Genomic DNA, 27,077 nt, shown 5'->3' with positions numbered 1-27,077 from the left:
AGAGCTTTGTCCCATGCCAGTGCCATGGGGCCCAGTGAAAGCCTGGCCTGGGTATTAATTAAGGACAGAGACACGGAGCACCATCCAAGGGGAGAGAACAAATCTGTTCCTTCACAGCAGATCCTATTTGCAAGTGCCACTCTCTCTGCCTGAAATTCTCCTCTCCCAACTTTCCATCAGTTTCTTGAGAGTTTTCTTTTTTTTTTTTTTAAAAAAAAACAACTTTGTTGAGATATAATTCACATTCCATACAACTCACCCACTTCAACTGTATGACTCAATGGTTTTCAATATATTCACAAGTAGGTACAAACATCACCACAGTCAATTTTAGAACATTTTTATCACCTCAAAAAGAAACCTAGAACTCTTTCCAAATGGCCCCATCTTCTCACCCCCATGGCTAAGAAACCATTTACCTCCTTTCTGTCTGTGTGGACCCCTCCATTCTGGATTTTCATATGAACGGAATCATAGAGTATGTGGTCTTTTGTGACTGACGTCTTTCACCTACCACGATGTTATTAAGGTTCAAGCATGTTGTAGGATGTATTAGTACTTCATTATCTTTTATGGCTGAATGAGGTTTCATTATGCAGATAGACCTTATTTTGCTTATCCATTTAGCTATTGAAAATCTGGCTTTTGTGAACAATGCTGCTGTGAACATGGACATGAAAATGCCTCTTCAAGATCCTACTTTCAATTATTTGGAACATATGGGTAAGTTGTCTTTAGTGGCCTCATTAAAAAAGTAAAAAGCAAACAGGTGGAATTAATTTTAATAATACGTTTTACTTACTTCGATATATCCAAATCTCACGTCAACAAATCATCAATTAAACACGTAATAAGAGAGTTTGCATTCTTTTCCACTCTAAATCTGTGAAATCCAGGACATAGTTTGCACTTGCAGCTGACCTCAGTTGGAACCAGCCCATTTCACGTGGCCAATACCCACAGGTGCCTAGTGGCTACTGTGTTGAACAGGACCCTCTAATCCTTGAGGTGCTGGGATTCAGGAGTAGCTGACTGTGTGGTGATAGCTGCTGCTGAACTTCAGGTTGCATCCTCTTTCTCTCTCTCTCTCACTCCTCGAGAAACATACAGCAAAAGCTCTTGGCAAAGCTTCCAACCTCATTGTCAGACCCATCTGATTTTATTCAGTGAGAAGGATTATGTGATCTGGCTTTTGATATGATGAGCTAAGTTCGAGTTGTATTTCTTTCAAGAGAATTTTGAGTCTGAAATACAAAAAGTGTCCCAGAAATACACCTATTCTCCCTTGTGCTGAGTCACTTTGGACAATTTAACCTCAAATCATGACAGGGAATGCTTGATACTTTGCTGTTCAACATTTTGTCAGCTCTAATGAGTGTTCAATTTATAACTAATGACAATGCATCTTATAGGGTGGGCCAGCCCATATGGGTGGGGGTCGATGTGAGAGGGTTGTCGTTATAATTTCAGCACGTACTTTAACAGTGGCAGTTGTACATTTTGCATAAAGGCCTGAAGTCTTGTGACATCAAGAATATATGAGGAAAAGAAAAGCGTCTTCCAATACAAATAATGTAATATGATAGTTATTCACATAATATTGCCCCTTTTCACTTGCGTTGTTTATTTAAAACCGAGTTAGGGAGGGTGTGACAAAATAACAGATGCTCCCATGAATGCTCATCTCTTTAAATCTGGCCTCAGCTGATGTCAGTCAGAGTCTACTAGACTAATGGGGCTGCTGCAAATCTCAGCTTTGCCGCCGGCTTGGGCACGTTTCCTCAGCGTCTCTGGCTCCCCGTATTCTTGTCTTCAACACAATGGGTGGAAGTGTGGTTCAGTGTCTAAGAAAGTCTCCAGCACAGTGTGGGATGGGGACAGGCTCCTGTTTTCCTTTTCTTCTCAGAAGCCCAAGAGCTGGTGCACCATCTTGTTCGTCTCGACTCACAGGTACAGGTTTGGGATCACAGTGTGCATTATTAGGGACAGAAAGAGAGTGCCACTGAGATAAAGGCAGGAAGAGAGTACCACTGAGATACAGGCAGAAGGCTACCAAGGACATCTTTATATTCTTTTGCAGACCACTGGGGTCACTTGAATTTAGAATTTACCAGGTGCAATTTTGCAAACTATCTTAATTATCTTGACATTATAAAAGCCTGTAATCTTGTACTTCTGACATCTGAGTAATTAGGGCTTTGAACACCAGTGCCTTCTAGGTCACAGGCTTGCATTTTTTCCACTGCAGATTGGCTGTCAGCCATTACCACCTTTCTGCTCCAATGGAAACCTTTCTAAATGAGAGCGGGATTGGACAGGATGGCTTTGATTTGAATCTCTGTAAAAACAACTTTCATGTATTGAGCTGCATTGAATTTTTATTTGCGCACTGAACTTTATTTTATATTTTAAAAAGACAAATAACAAGCAATTATATTTGGCAGATAAAAAGAGACATATGAGCATGATAAATTTGGCTGTGGATCTCTCTGACCTAATCTAATAATCATTTTGGTTTCAAAAGCCGAATGATTTCTCAGAGCAGCTTGTTACTTGCTTATACAGCTCAGTTAAGAAGAACACAAATAGTTCCCCAGGCACACCCAAGATACAGCAACATTATAAAACACTGCTTATTAATTGCTTTTTAGGTTAAGAATTATGGTAAGGTAAGATTTTGATTTTTGAGAGACATTAAAGTAAAATGATATTTACCCTTCACATGCTAATTTACCCTTGTAAGTTATGCGACATTTTTATCCATTCTGTAAGTTGTGTGAAGCTTTTGAAACATCTTTAGATAGAAGTTATTTCTTTTCAGTCTATTTTTCTAAGAACCTTTGCTGGCAAATAAGAAAGTTCATTTACCAGGGGATATGTATAAGTATTGAATGTTAAATATTTGTTGGGGGAAGATGAAAATGACATTAACGCATCAATTAACAGTTAGTGCAAATATTTTTAACACATTGTTAGGCCCTACTTCTGGTTTTCAAAATTATAACACCATTACGTCATAGGAATAAAATTCTCCTTATAAAATATTTATATACATATAGTACATATTATAGGGTGTGATATATATATAGTGTATATTATCTGTTATTTTATATATAAATACACAGTATTTTACAGGACTTGTTTATTCCAGAAGAAAGCAATTTTGTTAGAATTTTATATAAATCTACTTTTTGACTAAAATTTACTTTAAAGAAATGATACAATCCTTTGGGCAAACTATTGAACAAACAAAAATTCCCTTTTCACTTTCCATTGAGATGATTTAGTTGAAAACATTCAGTTGAAAAAATCAATGTACATATTTTAGAATACTTTTTTTAGACCAAGCTGAGGATTTGGGGTCTGTTCTTTACTGTGGGGGAGGGAATGAAGCCTCAAAAATGATCTTGTGCAATCGGAAAAGTTGTTAGAAGCCTGTGTCCGTGAGAATGAGAAGCAGGTAACCATACTTGGTGAGGATGCTCAACCAGCTACCATTGCGCTCCGGGGAGCATGTGACCAGTGTTACTGCGGCAGACCAGAGCCTGGGTCACCCCCGGTATACCGACTGTGAGTCAACCACTCCCTTAAAAAATGGAAGCAGTGCATCAGAGTCATGCAAAATATCTGCTACACCTGCCTGACGGGTCACTGATGGGCCATGCTCACCCTGCAGTGAGTTCCCTTAGAGGCGGGTTATGACGAGGGTCCCATCCCTGCCTCCTACTGCTGCTTTAATGCTGCTGGCCTGCCCACTCACCATCACCCAGAATAGCCTAAGATCCCACCCTGGGCACTAAGCTCTGTTTCTCTGTCTTTCACAGATTTCCCTCCCATGTATCGTCATGGTCCAGTGTGTCTTATTTCACTTCCCTGGACCTTCACTGCCTGGGTTAGGATCAGTGCAGTGTCAGAAATACAGACTTTAGGTCGCAGCTCCTACTCGGGTAAGTTACTTAGCCTCTCTGTCTCAGCTCTTTCGTCTCCAAAACACGTAAATTTATTACATTGACTCATTAAAACCCCAAGCCTTGAGAGGAAGGTTGATAGTACATGGATCTTTTCATTTGCAAGGATGGGGAAGAAAGGAAAAAGAGAGAATTTAAAGGTAATAGAATAAAGTTGGAGAACTTGTTCAAATGACAATTACATTGTCTGCTTTTAAATCATGTATTTTATTTATTTGTTTTGCCATATTTTGTTATTTAGTACCAACTAATTGCCAGACACTGTACTGGGCTCTCGGTGTACAAAAGTACAGAGAACCCAGATCCAGGGCCTTCCATTTGCATGGAGAGGAGGTTGTAATAGACATATGAACACACAGGTATAGCAAGTGTAGAAACTGAAGTGTGACAAGATATTTGTCAGGCAAGAGGAAGGCACTGACGGTGGCCCAGAATTCTGTCACAGAGGAGGAGACATTTGTCTTGAATTTCGAAAGGTGGAAAAGGGTTAATCAGCATTAGCGGGGAGGAATCTGGGCAGAAAAGGAAAGATTAGAGTGTGCTCAGCCTCTTTGGGAATTGATAAGTGGTTTGCACAACCGAAAAGCAAGGTGTGAGGGGAGGACCTATGAGATTCAATGGTGGGGCATGTAGACAAGGGTCCTAGGAGCCAGACAAAGGCATTTAGAGTTCACACTTCAGGAATCAATGACCACGACAATGATGTGACGAGGTCACAGAAACCAGCAGAGAACATAGTTTTTTTAAAAAAGTTGCCTGAATATAGCGGCTCCTGCCTGTAAGCTTAGCAATTTGGGAGGCCAAGGATGGAGGATAGCTTGAGTCCAGGAGTTCAAGACCAGCCTGAGCAACATAGCAAAATCCCATCTCTACACAAAATTTAAAAAATTAGTCCAGTGTGGTTGCATGTGGCTGTAGTTCCAGCTGCTCAGGAGGCTGAGGCAAGAGGATCGCTTGAGCCTGAGAGATTGAGACTGCAGTGAGCCATGATTGCACCACCCCATCCCTGCCTGGGCAACAGAGTGAGACTGTCTCAGAACAAAAAATATTATTAACATTTGTTTTGATTGACAAATCATAACTGTATACATTTGTGGGGTACAATGTGATATTTTGATAATTGTATACAAGATGAAATAATTAGATCAAGCTAACATATTCATCGCCTTGCTTACCTGTTCTCTTTCATGGTGAGACAATTGAAATTTATGCTCTCAGTTATTCTGAAATATATGACACATCATTACTGACTACAGTACCTTGCTATGCAATGGATCACCAACCCTCTGTCTATCTGAAACTTTGTTCTCTTTGATCATCAACTCCTCACTCCCTGTCTTCCCACACCCCGCACCTGTCAGCCTCTGGTAACCATCATTCTACTTCCTGTTTCTATGAGTTCAACCTTATTAGATTTCACATGCCAGTGAGATCATGGGGTATTTGTCTTTCTGCGCCTACCTTATTTCTCTCAGCATAAAGTCCTCCAGATTCATCCATGTTGTCACAAATGACAGGATTTCCTTCTTTTGAAAGGCTGAATAGTATGCCATTGTATATATACCACATTTATCCATTCATCCACGGATGGACACTTAGGTTGATTCCACATCTTGGCTGTTATGAATAGGGCTGCAATAACTATGGATGTGCAGACGTCTCTTGGACCTACCTTCAGTTCCTTTGGATACACACCCAGAAGTGAGATTACTGCATCATTTACTGGTTCTATATTCAGTTTTTTGAGGAACCTCCATGTCATTTTCCACAATGGCTGTAGTAATTTACATTTCCATTACGCATAAGAGTTCCCTTTCCTCTGCATCCTCTCCAACATTTATTTTTCATCTTTTCGATGATAGCCATTCCAACAGGGGTGAGGTGATAACTCATTGTGGTTTTTATTTGCATTTCTCTAATAATTAGAGATGCTGAGCATTTTTTCATGTACCAACTAGCTACTTGTAAATCTTCTTTTGAGGACTTTGGGTCCTTTGCCCATTTTAACATCATCTAATTATTTGTTTTCTTGCTATTGGGTTGAGTTTCTTTTATATTTTGGACATTAGCTGCTTACTTGATGTATGATTTGCAAATATTTTACTCCATTTTGTGGGCTGTCTCTTCTCTCTGCTGATTGTTTCCATTGCTGTGCAGAAGCTTTTGAGTTTGATGCCATTTTATTTGTGTGTTTTTGCTTTTATTGCCTGTGCTTTCAGGGTCTTATCCAAAAAAAATTATTGTCCACACCAACGTTATAGAACTTTCCCTTATGTTTTCTTCTAGTCATTTTAGAATTTCAGTTTTTATATTTAAGTCTTTTATCCATTTTTTAAATTTTATTTATTTATTTAGAGACAGGGTCTCACTCTGCCACCCAGGCTGGAGTGCAGTGGTGTGATCTTGGCTCACTGCAACCTCCGCCTCCTGGGTTCAAGTGATTCTCGTGGCTCAGCCTCCTGAGTAGCTCGGATTATAAGCACCTGCCACCAGCCTGGCTAAGTTTTGTATTTTTAGTAGAGATGGGGTTTCACCATGTTGCCCAGGCTGGTCTCAAACTCCTGACCTCAGGTGATGTACCTGTCTCAGCCTTCCAAAGTGCTGGGATTACAGGCATGAGCCACCATGCCAGGCCAAATCTTTTATCCATTTTAAGTGGATTTTTGTGTATGTCATAAGATAAGGGTCTAATTTCATTATTTCACATGTGGATATGCAGTTTTTCCAACATCATTTGTTGGAGAGACTCTCCTTTCCCCATTGTGTGTTCTTGGCACCCTCATCAAAAATCAGTTGACCATAAATGTGGGGGATTATTTCTGTGTGTTCCATTCTGTTCCATTGATTGATTTGTCTGTTTTTTATGCCAGTTCTAGGGTGTACTAATTGCAACTGCTAAAAGAGTTTAAAATGAGGGAGTGTGATGCCTCCAGCTGTGTTCTTTTCCTTCATGATTGTTTTGGCTATTTAAGGTCTTTTGTAGTTCCATGTGAATTTAAGGATTGTGTTTTCTATTTCTGTAAAAAATGACATTGAATATTTGATAAGGGCTGGACTGAATCTATAGAACATTGGGTAGTTTGTACATTTTCACAACATTATTTCTTCTACCCATAAACATGGAAAATATTTCTATTTATTTGTGTTTTCATCATTTTCTTTCATCAGCATTTTATAGTTTTCAGTATGCAGGTCTTTTACGTCCTGGGTTAAATTAATACCTAAGTATTTATTTATTTTGTTGCTATTGTAAATGGGATTTTTTTTTGAAATTTACTTTTTAAATATTTGTTATTAGTATATAGAACGCTATTGATTTTTGTACGTTGATTTTATATCCTGAAACCTTAATTTGTTTATATGTCCTAACAGTTTTTTTGTGGAGCCATTAGGGTGTTCTATATAAAAGATCAATTTGTCCGCAAATAGAGACATTTCACTTCTTCCCTCAATTAGAATGCCTTTTGTTTCTTTCTCTTGCTAAGACTTCTAGTGCTATGTTGAGTAGGAGTGGTGAGAGTGGGCATCCTTCTCCCTGATCCTAGGAGAAACGCTTTCGACTTTCCACCATTGAGAATGACGTTAGCTATGGGTGTGGCATGGGCGTCTCTCCTGTGCTGAGGCAGCTCCCTCTATGCTGGATTTGCGAGGGTTTGCTATTACGAAGGGCGTTGAAGCACGCTGGGGGCTGAGCCTGGAGCACCTGTGGGGGTGCTTCCTGTGGCGTGGTGCCTCTGGCTAGTTTCTCTGATGTGGCACCTCCATGGGCCAGGCCCGATCTGTGCCCTGTTTGCTGTGAGCCCCACCTGTTTTTGTTTCTAACTGGCCCTGTGGGCACTCCCAATGTTTCCCGTGGGACAAGACAGGTGTGAGCTCCTGCAAAGTGGCCCAGAATGGTGGGGATGTGTTTCCCATGGGACAAGACAGGCGTGAGCTCCTGCAAAGGGGCCCAGAATGGCGGGGAAGCGTTTCCTGTGGGACAAGACAGGCGTGAGCTCCTGCAAAGGGGCCCAGAATGGCGGGGAAGCGTTTCCCGTGGGACAAGACAGGCGTGAGCTCCTGCAATGGGGCCCAGAATGGCGGGGGAGCGTTTCCCGTGGGACAAGACAGGCGTGAGCTCCTGCAAAGGGGCCCAGAATCGTGGGGAAGCGTTTCCTGTGGGACAAGACAGGCGTGAGCTCCTGCAAAGGGGCCCAGAATGGTGGGGAAGCAGAACTTCTGCCTCCAACTCACTTTCTCACCGTGCAACTGCGGATCCAGAGGAATCTCTGCATGTGAGGCTCTGCCAGGTTGGGGAGGAGTGTGCGCTCAACATCTCTCTCCACTTTTTACCATTGCAACAGCTTTTCTTAGCTCTGGGGTCCAGGAGTGTGTCTCAGCCTTAGTCCTGAATTCTGGGACATGCACGATGGTATTCTTGCCTGTGGAGAGCTGCTAGTTGAATTTCTGTGGTGGTGAGTGATGTCAGTGAAGTCCCATTCTGGTTTCTCTCTGATGTCACACTGAGAGCACAGTTTTGGTGAGAAGATTATCTTTGTGTAAAAGCAAAGAAGAGAGGAAAGAACCTGCGTTTCTCCTCTGCACTATCCGCTGCGTTTTTCTGTAGAATTGGGTGTGCCATTTGCAAGAGCTGTGTGTGTGCAGCAGAGCAGGCAGCCAACCAATCCTTGCGGTTCAGTGTGAGTTGGGAGGGAGAAAGCGCAAACCACTAAGTGTAGACAACACGCAGGGAGTTCATTTGGGAAGTTTAGCGAGTGGTGTCCAAAGCAGAGTTGCTCCCTCAGCACTATGGGCAGTTTGGGCCACACAATTCTTTGTTGTTGGGGAGAGAAGGCTGTCCTGTGCCTTGTAGGAGGTTTGGCAGCATCCCTGGCCTGGACACCCCATGACAGTGGCAACCCCTCCCCTAGCGGTGACAAACATAAAGGTCTCTAGATGTTGCTAAATGTCCTCTGGTGGGGGTGGGAAGGGCATTGCCCTGTGTGAGGACCGCTGGTAGAGACTGTTGCAGGGTTCAGAAAAGAGATTTTTGTTTTTCAGTTGGGACATACATGATCAGTCTTGGGGAAGGAAGCAGAAGCAATGGTGGAATAGGACAAAGATAAAGGAAAGAGGTGGAAAGTGATGAACACAGACCGCGATGACCCGGTGTGGGGTGATATGGGCGAGGACAGCATCCAGCGAAGAGGTCCTGGCTCCTGACTGCAATTTGGTGGCTCTACTGTACCCTGTGCAACGGGTATAGGTTGGTGCTTATTTTCTCTCCATGTGGTCAGAAGTCTCATCTTCAAAGTGCTTAAGCTGTAGCCCTTGCCCTGTCACCTCTGGTTATTGCTGGGACCTGGGTCACACTCCTGGTTCATCTGCTGGCCCCAGGCCGGGTGAGGCTCCCATGTGCCTGCTGGCCTGAGAAAGGCTTATGTGAGTCACGGGCTACTAGGGGCAGAGAGAAGGGAACAGGATGGAGAAATTAAGTGAGGAATAAGATTGTAGAAAGCCAGGAAGAAGCCGAAAGGGGACTTGGCTCTGGCAGCATTTTGTTTTGCATCAGTCTGTGCTGGAATAAGCTGTCGAAAGGTTGTCTACCCATTGCCCCCTGGTACCTTGTGCTGTGCTCATTGTTGGCAAAACACTTGAATGATTGTGGCCTAAATGTGCAGTGATAAAAGACAGAACATAGCTTTGTTATTTTTCTAACCAGAATAGGAGAGTGGCTTTTGGAATCAAGATTTAAAATTCAGCCTTATCCTCATGATTTGCTTGTGTTTTGGCTTGTATTTTGGCTTGTGCTTGAAATGACAAGAAGGATCAAGGGTTTAAATGTGATCTTGAGAAGACATGAGAGAGAGAATTGATATTTTCCTATCTAATATTTATATTACTTTCCTGTATAGAGTAGGCTAAGGATTTTATTTGGACGCTAATTGTATGTAATTCCTATAGCAGTTATTTTGATTAAGCCAACTAGATTTACCTCTAATTATTCATTTTAAGCCCTAGATTTAAAGATAACTTTTTATTCTCTGTAAACAACCTAAAAGTTGCCTTAGATTTATTTCATAATATGTAAAAATGCTGAAAAAGGGCTAGTTTGGCTGGAGAGACATTTTAATTTTTCCCTTTAATTTTAAATGACAATAGTGTGTGTATAGGAGCTGCGTTTCCTACCGAATATTCACCTGGTGTGGAGACTGAATAACATGCCACTCTAAGGGTTAATAAAAGCATTAAATAACTTGCATCTGGGAAACATCAATTGAATAGATAATTGCTTCTTTGTGTTTCTGCTTAGTAGTGGCTGGACATGTAAAGTTTCTATACCACAAAATGAAAACAGATGAGCAAACAAGAGGCCCGGGGTCACATAACCGATGCGTGCTCAAAGCTCGAAGCAGCGTCAATCAAACCTGGAGGGTACCATGTCGAGAGATGGTATCTTTCCATTAATCAGGAATTGGTACCCGGGTGATAGACGGCCTCTGTAATGAAAACCTCAGTTAGCAAACAGCCAGAAGAGAGAGAAAATAATCCAACCAGCCAAATAATCAAAGAACACATGAGGTGTCTGTAGGGAGATTTCCACAGTGGGAAACCCATAGAAAAAGTTCTGTCTCTCACTCTTGTTTTTGTTTTTTGGTTTTGGATACAATTTCATTTAAGTAGAAAGATCATCCATGATTTTCTCAATCTTCCTTATGTCTTTTATGCACTATACTTGCCAAAGTAGCATAGACAGAAAAAAAGCAGGAATCCTATGGATTTCCACCCTTAGTCCTTCAACTAACTTTAAAATAACTTTTAATTTTCTTATTCAGGTCTACATTCTAAGTCACACTCCCCTCCCACATGTCTTTGCCTGCTATTTTACTTCATTAATATTTACCAGCTTTTCTGAATTTAGACACCTAATTTTGTATTTTCATGTATTTCTCTGCATATCCTTCAGATCCTTATTTTCCTCAATATTCATGTAAAATATATAAACTATAATTTCTGTGTTCTTTTAAGAGATAGCAAGTACCTAAACAAAGGGGTGTTCTCCCGTGATTTTTTTAACTCAGCATTTTTTGCCAGAAATGGTCATTTGGGATTTATTCCCACGCCCTTGTGTTTTTCCCTCCCCCTCCCCTTTCCCTCCCTTCCCTCCCTTTATCTTTTTCTCTCTCCCTTCCTCCTGCCCACCCACCCTACATTTTTCCCTCCCTCCCTTCTTGCTCCCTCCCTCTCTTTCTTCCTCCCTCCCACCCTCCTTTCCTTCTTTTCCTCTCTTTCTTTGTCCTTTCTTCTCTTCCCTCCTCCTTTCCACCCTTTTCCTTTCACCACTATTTATTGAGTGCTTATTGCACAAGAGACTTTGAGTGTCCAGTGCTGGCTTGTGGCAGGACAAGCTGCAGACAAAACCCCTCAGACACCGAGTTGTAGAAGAAAGGGCTTTATTCGGCTGGGAGCTTCAGCAAGACTCACGTCTCCAACAACCGACCTCCCCAAATGAGCAATTCCTGTCCCTTTTAAGGGCTCACAACTCTAAGGGGGTCCGCGTGAGAGGATCGTGATCGACTGAGCAAGCTGAGGGTTCATGACTGGGGGCTGCATGCACTGGTAGTTAGAACGGAGAAGAACAGGACAGGGATTTTCACAGTGCTTTTCCATACAATATCTGTAATCTATAGTTAACCTGACCGATTAGGTCAGGGGTCGATCTTTAACTACCAGGCCCAGGGTGTGGCACTGGGCTGTCTGCCTGTGGATTTCATTTCTGCCTTTTAGTTTTTACTTCTTATTTCTTTGGAGGCAGAAATTGCGCATAAGACGATATGAGTAGTGGTCTCCTCCCTTAGCTAAGGACTCTGACTCCTCCTTCTGTGGGGCTCCATGTATTCTTTCTCATTGGCAACACTGGGAATAGCAGGGCCCAGTTGAGTTTGGAGAGTGTTGCTTAGTGCTCTTTAGTTGCAACCATCTGAAAATAACATGAAAAGAAAGGGGAATTTCCTGAAAAATGTTGGTGGTAGCAATGAGAGCAAGGCTCAAAGAATAAACTGGAAGCTGAGAAACTAGGCTTGAAAATAGAAATCAAAGGGACTGGGGAAGCAAGGACCCTGCATTCGTCTCTGGGCAGGAAGGGTTCGCTCAGCGCACTGGTGCTGCGATAAATATCATGTGCCTCTGCTGTTCTCTCATCACGGATCAAGAGTCCAAGCCTGGAGGGAGAGCGACTGACAGCCATGGTCTGGTCACACGCCTGCCTGAGAGCTGCACGGGAGCCGGCGAGGAAAAGCCCTTGCTGCTTCCAGTGTAAGGCAGGTGTCTGGATTTTTCTTCAAGAGAGCCAACACGATGAATGAAGGAACTTAAATCATGGCACGGTTAGAAAGAAAAGTAGCAAGACAGGAACTACTCCTTCCCTCCAAACAAAAAGAAAAACAAAATGAGATATTCACTGTAATTAATATGAATTTGCAAGGGAAATAATGCAGTATATGATCTCAGTCTCAACTTATATCTTTATTTCAACTATATCTACTTCAGAAAGGATTTGAAGGGTTTCCAATAAAAGACAAATAAAATGTTATAAATGGTAGATAAATGAAGATCAAATATGACCCTGGTAGAGGTATGAGAATTTTGTCTGTCTTGTTCAAGAGCTACACTGGCTGCACCTGATATAGTAGATGCTCAATAAGTATCATTACCTTCTGCCAGGTCCCTCCCAGGACACATGGGGATTATGGGAACTACAATTCAAGATGAGATTTGATTAGGGACACAGCCAAACCATATCAGTATTATATTTTATTGCAACTATTGGCTCAATAGGTGCACTATGTATTTTTGTTCAAAGTTATTGCTCAAGCGTTTACCGTGTATATTGTTAACTTATCACAGTTTATTCTTAAGTACTATTATATCATCTCCCAAGTAATATAAAAATCTTACAGCAGTCCTGGCTTTTCGTGGTTCTTATATGCAGGAATTTTTGTTACTGTGCTTTGGTTAGATAACATATATAATTCCTTCATGGACACAGTGCAAATTTCACTTTCCACAGTGTATTAACTATGTGTAATTTCATTCAGTACAAATTTTGATGCTGGTTTTTAGTACAAAAATTAGTAAGTATTTAATGGACAAGCATGATGATCAGTGAGCAATCATGCTGTCTCTGTGAAAGTGTGCTGGTTATTTGTCGCTGTGTACCTGTGCGTCTGTATGAATTTAGTTTAGACAGATATCAAGGTGTGTAGTTGTGTAAACTACTTGTCCTCCAGTCATAAACTCACATAATTTAACTTTTAAAGCACCATCACTGTTGGATAAGTGTCCAGGTCACCTTTATTCATTTGGATACCTCCATGAAGATGTTAAAAAGCCGCTTTTTACTAACAAATACAACTTTAATCGTCCAGCTAGTGGACCAAGGAGTTATTTCAATGTTTAAAGCCTACTGTCTTAGACAAACTTTTCAACAGACTACTGAAGCTACAACTGGAGATCATGCAATTTTTAAGCGAAGTTTTGAAAGATATATTACTTAAAAATGCAGTTGAAATACTTAAGCATCATGGCGGCAAAGAAAGTGAGTAATATGTGTGTGCAGTACAGCAGAAACTTGTATTGCTCTGTGAAAATAACATGCAGGATACCAACAGAATGCAAGTGGAGCTATTGGCTCATTTTGCTCCTGCTTGTGCAGAACTTTTCATGTCAGGCCATCTCCTGGGCTACTGGTGAGTTTATGGATCGGCCCAGCTGTAGTCTATCCTGTTGTTCCTGAAGTGGGGTGGAGGTCAGCCAGCAGCCTGCAAAAATGTTAGAAAATAAGAGTCAAGCAGGACTTCTGATGCCCCCAGATCATGTTATTGTTATGATCAGCCATCCACAGCAAGTGTCTTATTTGCATTATATCCGATGATAGTGATGGATCTGCATTGCTGTTTGCCTCTTGTAACCCACAGTGTGAGAATGCAAAATCCAGGGTTAGGAGTGCAGTCAGTGGCAGTGTGACTAGGTGTTTCTCTGTAGGATACTAAGAAAAATACAGCCCAGGAAACTGTTAGTGCTTTCATTTTGTTTCACTATAGGTCTGCCTGGATGATCAAAACAGATGGGAAGGAGCCATGGTGGGGCAATGATCCTGTTCTGTTGCCTCCTGGAGATTCAAGCATTATATATGGAGAGCTATCATCTCTACCCCTCCTCCCGGTTTACTCTCATGGTGAGCTCAGGTAGAGTTTAGCAGGGATGTTCATGTGAATATCGTCTGTGTTCGTGAATAGGCTCGTATTTCAGTTGCAAGCAACATGATAACCTTAAAGTTCAGTTGCTGGTTAATAACTGTCTTTTTTATTAAGTTGATACTGAACTTGATGTCTTTTTGCAGTACTAACAGAGATTACTGGTGCTACCTTTTAGCTTTTGATCATTTATGCAAGCCTAGATCTTTAGCTTTACGTTGTAAAAGGGGTATTTTTTTCAACATTTTTTTGGTGAGAGTATTAAAGTTGACATTATTATGATCACAAGTGTAAACAGGTATATAAGGAAGTGGCGATACATTGTTAAGACTGCTGTTATTCATGATGCTTAGCCAAATGGAGGTGCAATTAATACTGCCATGTAGAACTGGAATAACGTCAGCTCAGGAACAGCAAGTTTAGATAGTTTGACTGTAGTGAATTTTCATGAATGGAATAGTTAATCATTTTAGTGGATCTTGGGGGTCAATTCAGGCTGTTTTACTTGATCCACTTCTTATCATTATCCTAACAAAGTCTTCTGAGATAACACAGCACTGATAGTTGCTAACAGACTTTATATCTACCACGTTATTAGCATTTTATCTTGATACACTGATAAAATAAGCTTCAGGAATACTTAAAAGATTGCAATGGCTTCCAGCTGCCAAATGCTAGATTTAATTATTTTTTAGGACCAACATGAGGGTTTAGACACACCACTTGTGGTGCAGCACACATGTATTATCCAAACTGAAATTAGCAATTCAACTGAAGTCCATGTAGAGTCGAAAAATGTGAATATTTGGAGATGATCTAGCTCACTTTATTTTGTAGAAAAGAAAACAGATTCAGGGAAAGGGCATGCATTGCCTAAGGTGATTCAGCAGGTTTGGAGCAGAAATGCAATACAATCTCTGTTCTTTTGCTTCTCAGATCCAGAATTTTTTCACAGTACTGAACTACTTATGTTTCTGATTCCTTATTTTTTCTGTTTTATATTTTGCCAATATTGTCTTACCAAGATCCTATTCTTTACCCCAAATATTTAAATTCATTACCACTATTGTCTCTTTATAAGTAAAAGTACTAGTTGTTATTATAAATGATTATTCGATCACTTTTCATTTTTTTTTGGGTCCAGCACAAAGTTAGTAACAAATAAACATTATAGGCCTTGGCAATCCAAGGGGAGCTCAAGTCCTCCAGGGCACGTCAGGAAAAGGCTAAACGACAGCTGAGCTTCGAGTGGACAGAATACAGCTCTCATACGGACTGTTGAGTATTTGATGTTCTTCAACAATTTCATTCATCTTCAGTTTTTTCCTCTTTGAAGTGATGGATTTAGTCCTTGCTATACTCGACTTTCAAGTTTCTTTTGAAATAATTATAGATTCACAGGAAGTTGCAAAAGGTACAGGGATGTCTTAGGTACTCTTCACTAATTCTCCCAACGGTGACATCTCGCATAGCCATAGAGCATATCAAAACCTGGAAACTGACATAGGTACAATTCAGAAAGCTTGCTCAGATCACAACCATTTTGTACACATTTGTTTTTGTATGTATGTGTGTGTGTATTTGTGTGCATGTGTTCTGTGCATTTTTATCTCGTGTAGATCTCTGTAACTACAACCTCGACAGTCAAGATACAGAACTGTAGCCTCACCGCCAGGCTCCAACTTGCAATCTTTGTGGACACTCTGACACATTTTCCTCCATCCCTTCCCCTTGGCAACCCCATAGTCTGTTCTCCATCTTTACAATTTTATTTCTATAATTCATATAAATGTAATTGTACAAAATCGTATTTTTGAAGGGAAGAAACAAGTCACAGATATTTTTGTTAGCACTGCAAAATAATCTTTAATGCTAATTTATTCTATGTTCTATTTGTCTCAAAAAATGTGCTTTGTTCTTTCCCATATTTTCTGATATCAGGATAGGAAATCAATAGCAAACAAAACATAATTCCATTCATTTTTTTCCACAGCTTGTTTCTCACTGCTGTTTCCTAACGGTTATTGTTCCATTTACTCTTTCTCTCTGTTTTCCATCACATAAAAGTAACTTTGTGTTCCTTATCTCTTCTAAGAAAACTTGGTAATGAGTCTTTAATTGAAGCCCAGACCACCCTTGTTTTGATTTTGTGTTATGGGTGTTCTTTTTTGTGATCGCTTTCATGGAGAGTCCTTGTGAAGCTGGGCTTTTCCAATGGTTTGTCAAAATGGAAATAGATATTTAACAAACCAAACACAAAATGACCTTGCTCCAGGAATGCATCATTTCTGAGAAAACACTACCTCTTCCAACTAGAGATTGTGAATATTACTCATATTATCCTTTACTCCCTTTTATTAAAACTGTATTTTTTTTACACATTTGTATAACTCGGGTAATGAAATGTGAAACTAAGTGATTGCCTACCAATTACAATTGATATTAACGATGCTAGTGAGAGGCCACCTCTACAGTGGCTGCGCCGTGTCTAGGGACTTGCTAGCTTTGCTAAGTTACATGGGATTGCCTGCGTACTAAATGCAAACTTACTCATGTACATAGGAAACCATTTGTATTAATATGATTAAGAAGCCCTGCCTAACCCTGATGAAAAATTACTTGAAAATAACAGAAGACAGAGTCCTTATTTTAAAGTACATTAACTATTGGGAGTAATTACTATTAGTCCAACCATAACTGGATCTAATGAGACTGAATAGAAACAAATTAGACATAATTGGAAGCTAAGCAAAAGTCAATTAAATTCCTATAATTTTACCTTTATAAAAATTATTGAATTAAATGACCCGGATCAATTAGCAGAGGAAATAAAGCCATGAAGAATATTTCCAGGAAACTATTACCTTTTTTGAGGGAAAAATATTGTTTCACTTAATGATTAGAGTTTAGTAAAATGTAGCTTAATGAATTTTGCTGCCTTAGCAGTTTAATAACTTCAAATGAAGTAATTATGCAAATTTTTTGATAGTTTTACCTACAAAGTAATGCAGGAGTTGTTTTAAGGAATCCAGGAGTAGAATTTATTTGATAGAATAAAATAACATATTTATAAAAATCAGCAAATTCAGATGGTTTGGAATAAAGATATGATTGCTTTTACTCAATGTTCACTTTAGGGCTGGGTCAGCTGTGTGGGAATTGCAGTTGACCTGTTGTAGAAATTGTGTGCTTGGAAATATATCACCACATTGCTCCATGTAGACTCCCTCTGTGATTCAAGTCTTGTTCCTACAGCACTGCTGTCAACCCTCAACCACCGTCACCCTATAGACCCCAAGTCAGTTTGTATTCAGTAATGCAAGTGGTGTTCTGTGCAACTGGTCACCCAAGAACTTGGTGCTAAGAAACTGAGAAAGTGATGACCAAGACAATCTCATCAAAACACAGCCAGGGCCAGTCACAGTATCGTAATTTCTGCTTTCTGGATGTTCAAGGAAATGTAGATCATGGCTCCTTCTGTGATGCCTCATTATCTTCAAAAGGAGCTATAAGCGTACACTCATTTCCAAATGTGATGGAATAAGATCGCAGTTTCAATGAGGTCCTGAAGGATAATTAATTATATAATAGTTATCAAAATATTAATTCTGTAAGGACAGTCACAAAGGAAAGAACAGTGGCAAATAGGTCTCAGGAAATACATCAAATGGGATGTTCAGGTGTGATGCAGCTTCGTACATACTATGCTAAATACATTATGTCTGTAATTAAACCAGCTGCATACACAATGCAGGTGTGGCAAATTCTTTGCTGAAACATGTATGCCAGTTTCCTCATTTTTTAAAATGACAAGTGCATGCTTAATCAGGTTAGAGTGGATAGATTATGATATTATCAATGCACTGGACAAATCCATTAATGATACAGTGAGATTTTGTGCAGAAAAATGGAATAGAGAGGTGTGAATCCAAACTTTGAAGAATAAAGAACATACATTTGTAATTAGGAAATATCTCTCACTTTCATCCCTTATGTGCCACACATAGCACAATCCAGCCCCACCCAGCCATGACTCTTACATTTATCACTCCTGACAAAGCCGGCCTGGCAATTCAGACCCGGAGCCCGGAGAAAAAAGAGGAATCCCATGATTTCTGGCAAACACTGCTGCTTCTTTTGTAGTGGTGTGAGATGAATGCCTCTACATGCACACAAGTGCCATGTTGAGGGGGATGAATCTTTCAAGATTTGTTTAAAGTCAAATAATGTGAAGGTCCATGACTGACCTCCAGGCCTCTCAGAGCTTCAGTTAACTCCTTTGTGTTAGGGGATGTTAGAAGAACGTTTACAAGTCAGAGCAGGTGATGCTCAGGAGCAAGAGTGAATGAGGAGGAGGAACCCAAACAGGTCCAGCACAGAACATCAGCATCTGAGCATGAAGTCTACCCCTGAGAAAAAGTGGTCCAAAGGTTTGTGTGAACCCCATTCTCCAGGCCTTACAAACCCTGTGATTTCTGCCTCATTCTGTCCCGTCCTGTCACTTTGAGTCTGAATTGGAAGAGAGAAAAACAGTAACTAGATTAGTAAAGTAAGGAGGAGTGAAGAGCAGGAAGGTGGAGGTCGTGGTGGTGGAAGATGGAAACCTCTGCGAGTGAAATAGAACAGTTTGGATGTCAGCTGTGACTGCTCTAGATCTCCTAAAACCCACTCCATTTTTATTAAAAATATACATTGCATTTTTCCAGTGTACACGATATCATGTTAAGAGTTCATAAAGTTTTGAGGATGTGAGTCATCAGAAAGGAGGTTTAAAGAACCGATTATTTTGGTGGTCTGACTCCTTTACCCCAGTAGGAAAAGCTGCCATTTTGCTTATGCCCTGTGCTGAATCTCAGAATGCCTGTCAACCCAACACGCTTCAGCATGAACTTTAACTCAAAAAATCAAAAAGTACCAGGATCAATTTACAATCCTAGCTATATGATATTTTAGAAATTACAAAGCCTGTAAATGAGCTATTTTGTCAACTTCATAGATGAGAAATCTAAGAGTGGGTTAGTAAGTTCTCTTAGATTTCTCATATCCATAAAGTGGATAGAACATCTAATTTAGAGGCTTGTTGAAGGACAGACAGAAATGGCATTTATAAAGTATCTAGTGAAACTACTGCTAGGGATTATATGCTCAGTAAATGATGAGCACTATAATCACAAATAATTTGATCTTTGCCAGTGTAAAATGTATTTGTCTGTCTGCTTGGTTTTTCTCGGAGGCATAGTTTCCCTCTGTCACTCAGGCTGGAGTGCAGTGCTGTGCTCACTGCAACCTCTGCCTCCCAGGTTCAAGTGATTCTCCTGCCTCAGCTGGGATTGCAGGAGCCCGCCACCATGGCCCAACTAATTTTTGAGTTTTTACTAGAGATGGGATTTCACCATGTTACCCAGGATGGCCTTGAACTCTTGGCCTCAAGCGATCCATCCACCTTGGCCTCCGAAAGTGCTGGGATTACAGGCGTGAGCCACTATGCCCGGCCACATTTATGTTAATTCAGAGAACAATTTTTCAGTAAGGTTGTACAAATGATTGTCCTACATTCCTGCATGTTTGAAACTCTTTTTCTCTTTTCATCTCCATATGTGAATGACAGTTTGGCTAGGTATAGAATGCTTGGTTTACACTTTTTATTGTTCATAAATCTATAGTCTTATCTTTGTTTCTATCCTCTATACCAGCTTGAGTAGGATTAAGTGTGGGATTCACTATAAAACTCTATACCCACTGAACAAGTCCTCTTTTCCCCCTCCGCTAGTCCCTGGCACCTGTCATTTTACGTCTCTGTTTCTAAGAGTTTGACTACTTTAAAAACCTCATATAAGAAGGATCATGCAGCACTGTGTTTGTATTTTTGTGACTGGTTTATTTCACTTAGTATAGTATCCCCAAGGTTTATCTATGTTATGACATATGACACGATTTCTTTCTTTTTTAAGGCTGAATAATAATTTATTGTGTATATACCACTTTTTAAAATCCATTCATCTCTTGACAGATATTTAGGTTGCTTTTACCTCTTGGCTATTATGAATAATGCTGCAATGAACATGAGATGAACAAGCTCCTTTTTTATCTCTTTACTTTTGTTAGAAGCTTTTAATTCCTGATTAATGAGTTCTGAATGTATGCAGAGGTCTCTACCTGGCAGTGACCTAAAAGCCTTGTCTTCTGCCACCCTGCTCAGCCTTCAGATTCAAGTCTCTAGATTCTTGAGGTTGGGAAATGTTTCCGGAGCAGCCATGGTTTTGCATTCATTGGCCATTCAGGTTTTCTGCTTTGCCGTTTCCCCCCCATTCAGGTTTTCTGCTTTGCCATTTCCCCGGGGGTTTCCTTACCCTCTTGGAAGAACAACCATGCATTAAGTCCATGTTGACTGTATTTTACCTGCTGTTTCTATGTGTTTTGCAATAAGGGCTTTTCAAAATACCCATAACTTGTGGCTAAAAATGAGGTTTGTTCCAATGTGCCTTAGAAAGATCCAGTTTCATACTTACCTGGCAGGGCAGATACCATGATCTTAAAGGCAGTTTTCCCAGGGCAAGGCTTATCCATTCCACTCTGGATCCATTATAGGGGCATGCTGATCCCTGGAATTGCCCCAAATGTGGGAAGCTCTACTGCAAAATTTTTGGTAGTGAGCGATGGCATTATGCATTCATGTACGAATTCAACTGAGTATCCAGTTTCATACAAATAATAATAACATCTTCTATAAAATGTATTCTTGTGTATTAACACATGGGGCTCTGTAGTACTCCAGCTGAGATATATGGGAATCTTACCCTAGTTTTGCCATTTTCTCCTAACATCAGTCTACTTCTTTTAATATTCATTGCTTCTCCCCATTTCTGTAGTTCAGTGCATGTTCCTTTCCTCTGCAGGAACTACTTCTCTTTCCTCACCCAACTCATAAATCTCTGCCTCCCACCCTAAGGGTAGGCACATGACCCAACCTGGGAGATCAGAATGCCACACCCCCAATACAGGATTGGTTTGTGAGTAGGCAGATGATTCTGTCCATGCACAGAACTAAGTAGAAGAGAGTTTTTACACCTCAGCTTAGCTTGATGCTAGCAGAGAGCTACTGGAGTTCTATTTCCTCCTCTAGGGAAGAAAAGGATTTTGGTTTGGAGATAAAGCCAAGATACCAAGAAAGTGGGAATGAAAGACTTAGAGACAGGGAGTCCTGGCCCCTTTTCAGATGCTCAGATGCTGGCACTAGCTTGAGGCCCAGTCCTGCTTCTGCTCTTCCCAACAGCCCCTTTTCAGATGTTGGCACTAGCTTGAGGCCCAGCTCTACTTCTGCTCTTCTCAACATTTGGTAAGGGGAGCTCCCAATTTCTTTTCTAAGATAGCTGGTTTGACTTGGATATCCATCTCTTCTAATCAAGGGTCCTGATTCCTTGTCATTGTCATCAAAAAAATATTTGTAAATATTTCACTTCTCGCTGGTGTTGAACAAAGTGATTTGCACAGATACAATCTCTGCATCTTAATAGCTTACATTCTAAGAGCTGTACACCTGGCACTCTTTCTCTGGAACTATAACTGCTAAGTTCACGAATCTTTATTAATAATGCTTTTCAGATATATAGTTAAAAAATAATTTTAATAGTTGAAAGGCATCCATCTTTCCAAGAGGTTCAGACATACTGCAATTGAGTGCTAAGTAACTTTTATTTTGTATTTTTTAATATTTGTATTTCCATAGGTTATTGGGGAACAAGTGGTACTCAAGATGGATGAAGGACTTAAATCCAAGACAAGAAACTATAAAAATTCTAAAAGACAACATTGGAAAAACTCTTCTAGACATTGGCTTAGGCAAGGATTTCACGAACAAGAACCCATAAGCAAACGCAATAAGAACAAAAATAAATAGCTGGGACCTAATCAAACTAAAGAGCTTTTGCACAGCAAAAGGAACAGTCAGCAGAGTAAACAGACAACACACAGAGTGGGAGAAAATCTTCACAATCTATACATCTGACAAAGGACTGATATCCAGAATCTACAATGGACTCAAACAAATTAGCAAGAAACAAATAATCCCATCAAAAAGTGGGCTAAGGACATGAATAGACTTTTAGGTTACTTTTAGGTATTTGTGTGTGCAGACCTCTTGGTGTCAAGGCTAAACTGTTCCTTTCTCTGACACATGGGAAATTGATGCACAATACCTTGCAGTGTATAATTCCAGGCCCCTAGGCACTGGAGACTGGGTTATCTTTTCACTCAACTGACAGTTGATACATTGTTTGCACTGAAAAATCTGGCTTTGTTGAACCACACCAGTTTATGTTTTTAATTCCAAATCTTACCTTGTTATGAACTATTTTTTTGTCCTTTCCTCTAGAGAAATGCTAATGCTGCTTGCTTACATGGAAAGTAAAGTTAAGGAGTTGGTGTTGACATTTTGGCTTGCTGTCACAGGCAAAAAAGAATAGTGCTGTTTTTGTGTGTTTAATTTTCTTTCACTTTCCCCACTCTGTGTATTGGAGGATGCCTTTAGCAATAAGTAGTCCTTATCCAGGTCACTCACTCATTAACCGCCAACCACTGACAGTAATGTCTTTACTAGATATTTTGCTTCTTTTGATTAATTTGTCTCTATTTCCTTTGTTCTAAAGCCTATAGTGAGTAATCATATTTGGAGTAATAGCAGAGCTCCCTGCTGTGTTTTCATTTGCTTAAATCAAGACTTAGCTGCTGTATTGAGGAACCAAGACTGAGATGTGGGGCTAGGAGGGCCTAGGGTCTGTCAGGCACTCTTCAGTGACTTGAGGTGCTGAATGACTCACACTGTACTGGGAGATGACCACCTGTGTGCATCCAACACAGTCACAGATAGTGCCATTGAGCCACCAGGAGCAGCCACAGACCATCAGTGGTTGTGCTTTGGAATACGCAATTTTGTGTTTCTGGTGAGCTGTAATCTTTTCTTTTCCCATAGAATTATTTTTCATTGAATTATGCTATTAAAACTCATCTTTGGGTTTCTTGTAACGTCATTGCCGAGAACGTTATTTTTGCATTTCACAGTGATTTCTTGAGGAGGAAGTAAGAAGTAATTGTTTTCTGGACTCACTGTCTGAAAAACTTGCACTTTACTGAAGCGATTGTTTTGTTTACACTAAGTAACAATATGAGTTTTGTTAGCTTTTTGGATGGACTACAAAGCATAAAACCAACTTTGTTCCTCATCTCTGGCAAAGATGGAGGGTTGTTGGCTTGTGTTGTGTGATGAGTCTTATACCTGGCTCTGTCTGCTCTTGCCTTTTGCCTTACATTTCAAAGACCTCACTTTTTTCTTTTCTTTTTTTAAAAAATATTTTATCACATGATTTTCTATACATTTTAATAAAATTTCTTTTTTGTAAAAAAAGCAAAGCATAAATAAAATAGGGTAGCCATTTCTTCTAAGGTTATGTTGAATCTAACCCAAACTCTTATCAGAGAAAACTCTGCTTTAGATGTAGCCTAAAGCAGGAAGCAACAAACCTGTATACAGCCAAAGTATCATCTCAAGGGCCTGCATTCAAATCTCACACATGTGGCTTGAAAGTGATCTCTTTTGCCCTTATTTCAAGGCCTAATCTTAGGTTACATAGTACTTAAAGAAGCTTCAGTATGCAATTTCAAAGCCTGTAGTAGATGTAAAATGAGAAAATTAGAAATAAGGAGAAAAGCTGCTACATGAGGACACTGACAGCAAGGAAAGGGAGAGAAAAACTCACAAAGTAAGTGGAAAAATAGACCAATGCAAATAACCCCACATAGTTTAACAGACCTCATCATATCTATTGTGTACATGTTTGTATGACATAGATTATATCTATTATATGTAATCCAGTGTTCATAGTGTTGACTTAGAAATTATCAACCAAATTCAAAGCTTTTAGGCTTTGAAAATTGTTTGAAAAGATTTTCACCCAAAATATTTAAATTATTAAAAAAAATTATTGTTGATTAAAGTTGTAATCCTCAATTAATTAGAAGTTTTGGCTATCCAGAGACCTTATATTCCAAAGACTTTAGAGAGTTGTTTGTTAGATCACATAAATTATTACCAATATCCTACATTTAAGCTTCTAATTTACGTAAATTGTGAGCAAAATTGAGAGCCACACAAATATTCAATCTCTGAAGCTCTTATGGCAGCATTGATCAAATAGGTTAGAGAACACATGGATACAGCTTTATTGCCTTCTAGTTTTACTGCAAACGTGTTATTTAATAGTATGCAAATGATTGGCTAGATGTACAGACTGCCAGGGCCTTCATAGCAAACAGGTTTTGTGTTTACCCTAGCATACAAAAATGCTTCATCTACGATGTATGCTGTAACTGTGTGTATTGTCTACCCTAGCATGCAAAAATGCTTCATCTAAAATGTATGCTATAACTATGTGTATTATATTATCTATAATTATATTTCTCCTTGGTTTAATATTAGATATTTTCAGGTACAAGAAATGTATGCACATTATAGATTCAATGCATGTAGGTTATATGTGTAAATATTTATTGATAAGAGGCATTAAACCCCTGCCTTCTATGCTGGATAAACTCCTGAACTTAGCCTCCAAAACACCACAGTAGCCTCCCTGGTAAGCACAGGGCTCTTTCTCTACCCTTTTGTGTCTCCCACGCTCCCACTTGTCTACAAGAGCTGAGTGTAGACCAAGAGCAATAAAGTTCATTTCCCCAAAATAAGGCGTAGCATTCAGGTTTTGTGATACCTGATTGGTTTACATTGTTTACAGGTGGGGCCTCGAAGGGGTAAAAATCAGAAGCTTCTTATTCTGAGCGCAAGGGCAAGATCATTGAGCAGACATTGACCTCCCTTCAGACATTTCTTGGGAGGAACAGAATGAGAATTTCAGGGGCCAGTGCCTGCACCCTACTAGCTGTGGCAGCCTGGTGCTCATCTACTTCTCCAGCTTGGGAAGGCCTAGGTTAACCCCAGTCTTTGGAGGCATTGTTATTCCTCTTCTCTCCCTGCTTCCCCGTGTTTGTGTTCTGGGCCCGGTGTAACACTGAGGTTCAGAATTGCTTTCAAGAGAGGAGCCCATTTCTGTGTCTATGCAAGGCTGGACAATTTCTCCAAGTGGTTCAGCCTGTGGGGGTTAACGGGGCAAAAGCATCTCAGCTAGTAATAAACACTGCTTCGCCTCTTGCTTTTTTATTTTTATTTTTGCAAAACTTCTCTGTAGGTGTGTATTTCTCTAGAGGATTTCAAAAATTCTCTGTAGGTGCGTATTTCTGTAGAGGAAGGAGTGGTGACTGGGCCAGGGTGAATGGATTATTTGATCTATATTATCTTGAATTTTATATCTTTTATTTTAAAATTTGGGTGTTTTTTGAAGTAGGAAATCAATGCACATGGCTGAATATCTAAAAAGTGTAAAAGTATACATTGAAAAGTCTTCCTCCTAATCTCGTGATTGTCTTCGTTTCAGTCCCCATGGCCACATCATGAGGCTACTGATGTCATTAGTTTCTTTTGCGTTCTTCTAGGGTTTCTGTTGGCATATGCAAGCAACAATAAATGTATACCTTTATGTTTTCTCTTTTTACAGCAAGGACAGTTTATTAAACACACTGTTTTAAACCTTATTTTTTCTCTAAATAATATTTCATATAAGTCAGTATGTAGACTTTATGTATTTTTAAAATGAAGACATAGCGTTCCACTGAACTTAGACAATAATTTACTTAACTAGTCCAAGATTGAAGAATAAAATTATTTTGAATCTTTTGTTAATAGTTAATAGCTTTGATGAGTACACTTATGCATACATTATTTTACACATGTTCAAGTATGTTGTATAAACCCCAAAGTGGGAATGCTCTGTCAAATATTACAGGTATTTGCAACTTTGATAGATACTAATTGCCCTCGATAGAGGTAGTAAAAGCTTACACTCCACAGCCTTACTGATGATATATATTATAAAACTTTTAGTTCTTGCCAATCTAAACGTGAAAAATGGTATTTCATGGTAATTTAAATGCTTTTCTCGTTTTATAACTGAGGTTGACATCTATCAAAAAATTATTTGAATTTTTCTGAGAACTATTAATCTTTGAATCCTTTTCTGTTGTTTATCTTTTCCTTCTTCATTTCTAAAAGTTCCTATACAGAGAGATTCACCCGTTATCTGTGATATGATTACAAATGTCTGCCCTCCAATTTGTTATATGTCTTTAGATCCAAATACCTTATTTTTTGCCATGTAGAAATTTTTAATTTGTATGTGATAAAATGTTAATACTTTATGGATTCTGGATTTTCAGAAATAAAAAGGTCATCCTCACTTCCAGGTTTTAAAGAAATTCTTTAATGTTATTTTATGTTTTTGTATGGTTTTATTTTATTTTATTTTATTTTATTTTATTTTATTTATTTATTTATTTTTTTGAGACGGAGTCTCGCTCTGTCGCCCAGGCCGGACTGCGGACTGCAGTGGCGCAATCTCGGCTCACTGCAAGCTCCGCCTCCCGGGTTCACGCCATTCTCCTGCCTCAGCCTCCCGAGTAGCTGGGACTACAGGCGCCCGCCACTGCGCCCGGCTAATTTTTTTTGTATTTTTAGTAGAGACGGGGTTTCACCTTGTTAGCCAGGATGGTCTCGATCTCCTGACCTCATGATCCACCCGCCTCGGCCTCCCAAAGTGCTGGGATTACAGGCGTGAGCCACCGCGCCCGGCCTAGTTTTATTTTTATTCACATTAAAGTTTTTGTCTTATTTGGAATTTATTTTGGTATGTGATGTGGGAAATGAATCTAACTTTATTTTTTCATATATCTTCCTAGTTGTCCAAACATCAACATTGTTGAAACATCTCATCTGTCC

General features: G+C 39.8%; 1 long non-coding RNA gene and 1 pseudogene across 2 annotated transcripts; both read left to right on the top strand.

Moving 5' to 3' along the window:
- Nucleotides 1–7,260: 7,260 nt before the first annotated feature.
- LOC105377616 (uncharacterized) lies at nucleotides 7,261–26,539 on the top strand. 2 transcript variants are annotated; one of them, XR_007058515.1, is made up of 2 exons: nucleotides 7,261–14,184; nucleotides 21,930–26,539. It is a non-coding gene; the product is annotated as an uncharacterized LOC105377616 (long non-coding RNA). The 2 variants fall into 2 exon arrangements; XR_007058514.1 differs by having other exon boundaries at nucleotides 7,261–14,194.
- On the top strand, nucleotides 20,705–20,880 carry RNU1-51P (RNA, U1 small nuclear 51, pseudogene; annotated as a pseudogene).
- Nucleotides 26,540–27,077: the final 538 nt, after the last annotated feature.

This window comes from Homo sapiens, chromosome 4, assembly GCF_000001405.40.
Source record: "Homo sapiens chromosome 4, GRCh38.p14 Primary Assembly".
Taxonomy (NCBI): Eukaryota; Metazoa; Chordata; class Mammalia; order Primates; family Hominidae; genus Homo; species Homo sapiens.
Note: the sequence above shows the minus strand (reverse complement) of the source record. Positions and strands in the feature narration are given on the sequence as shown.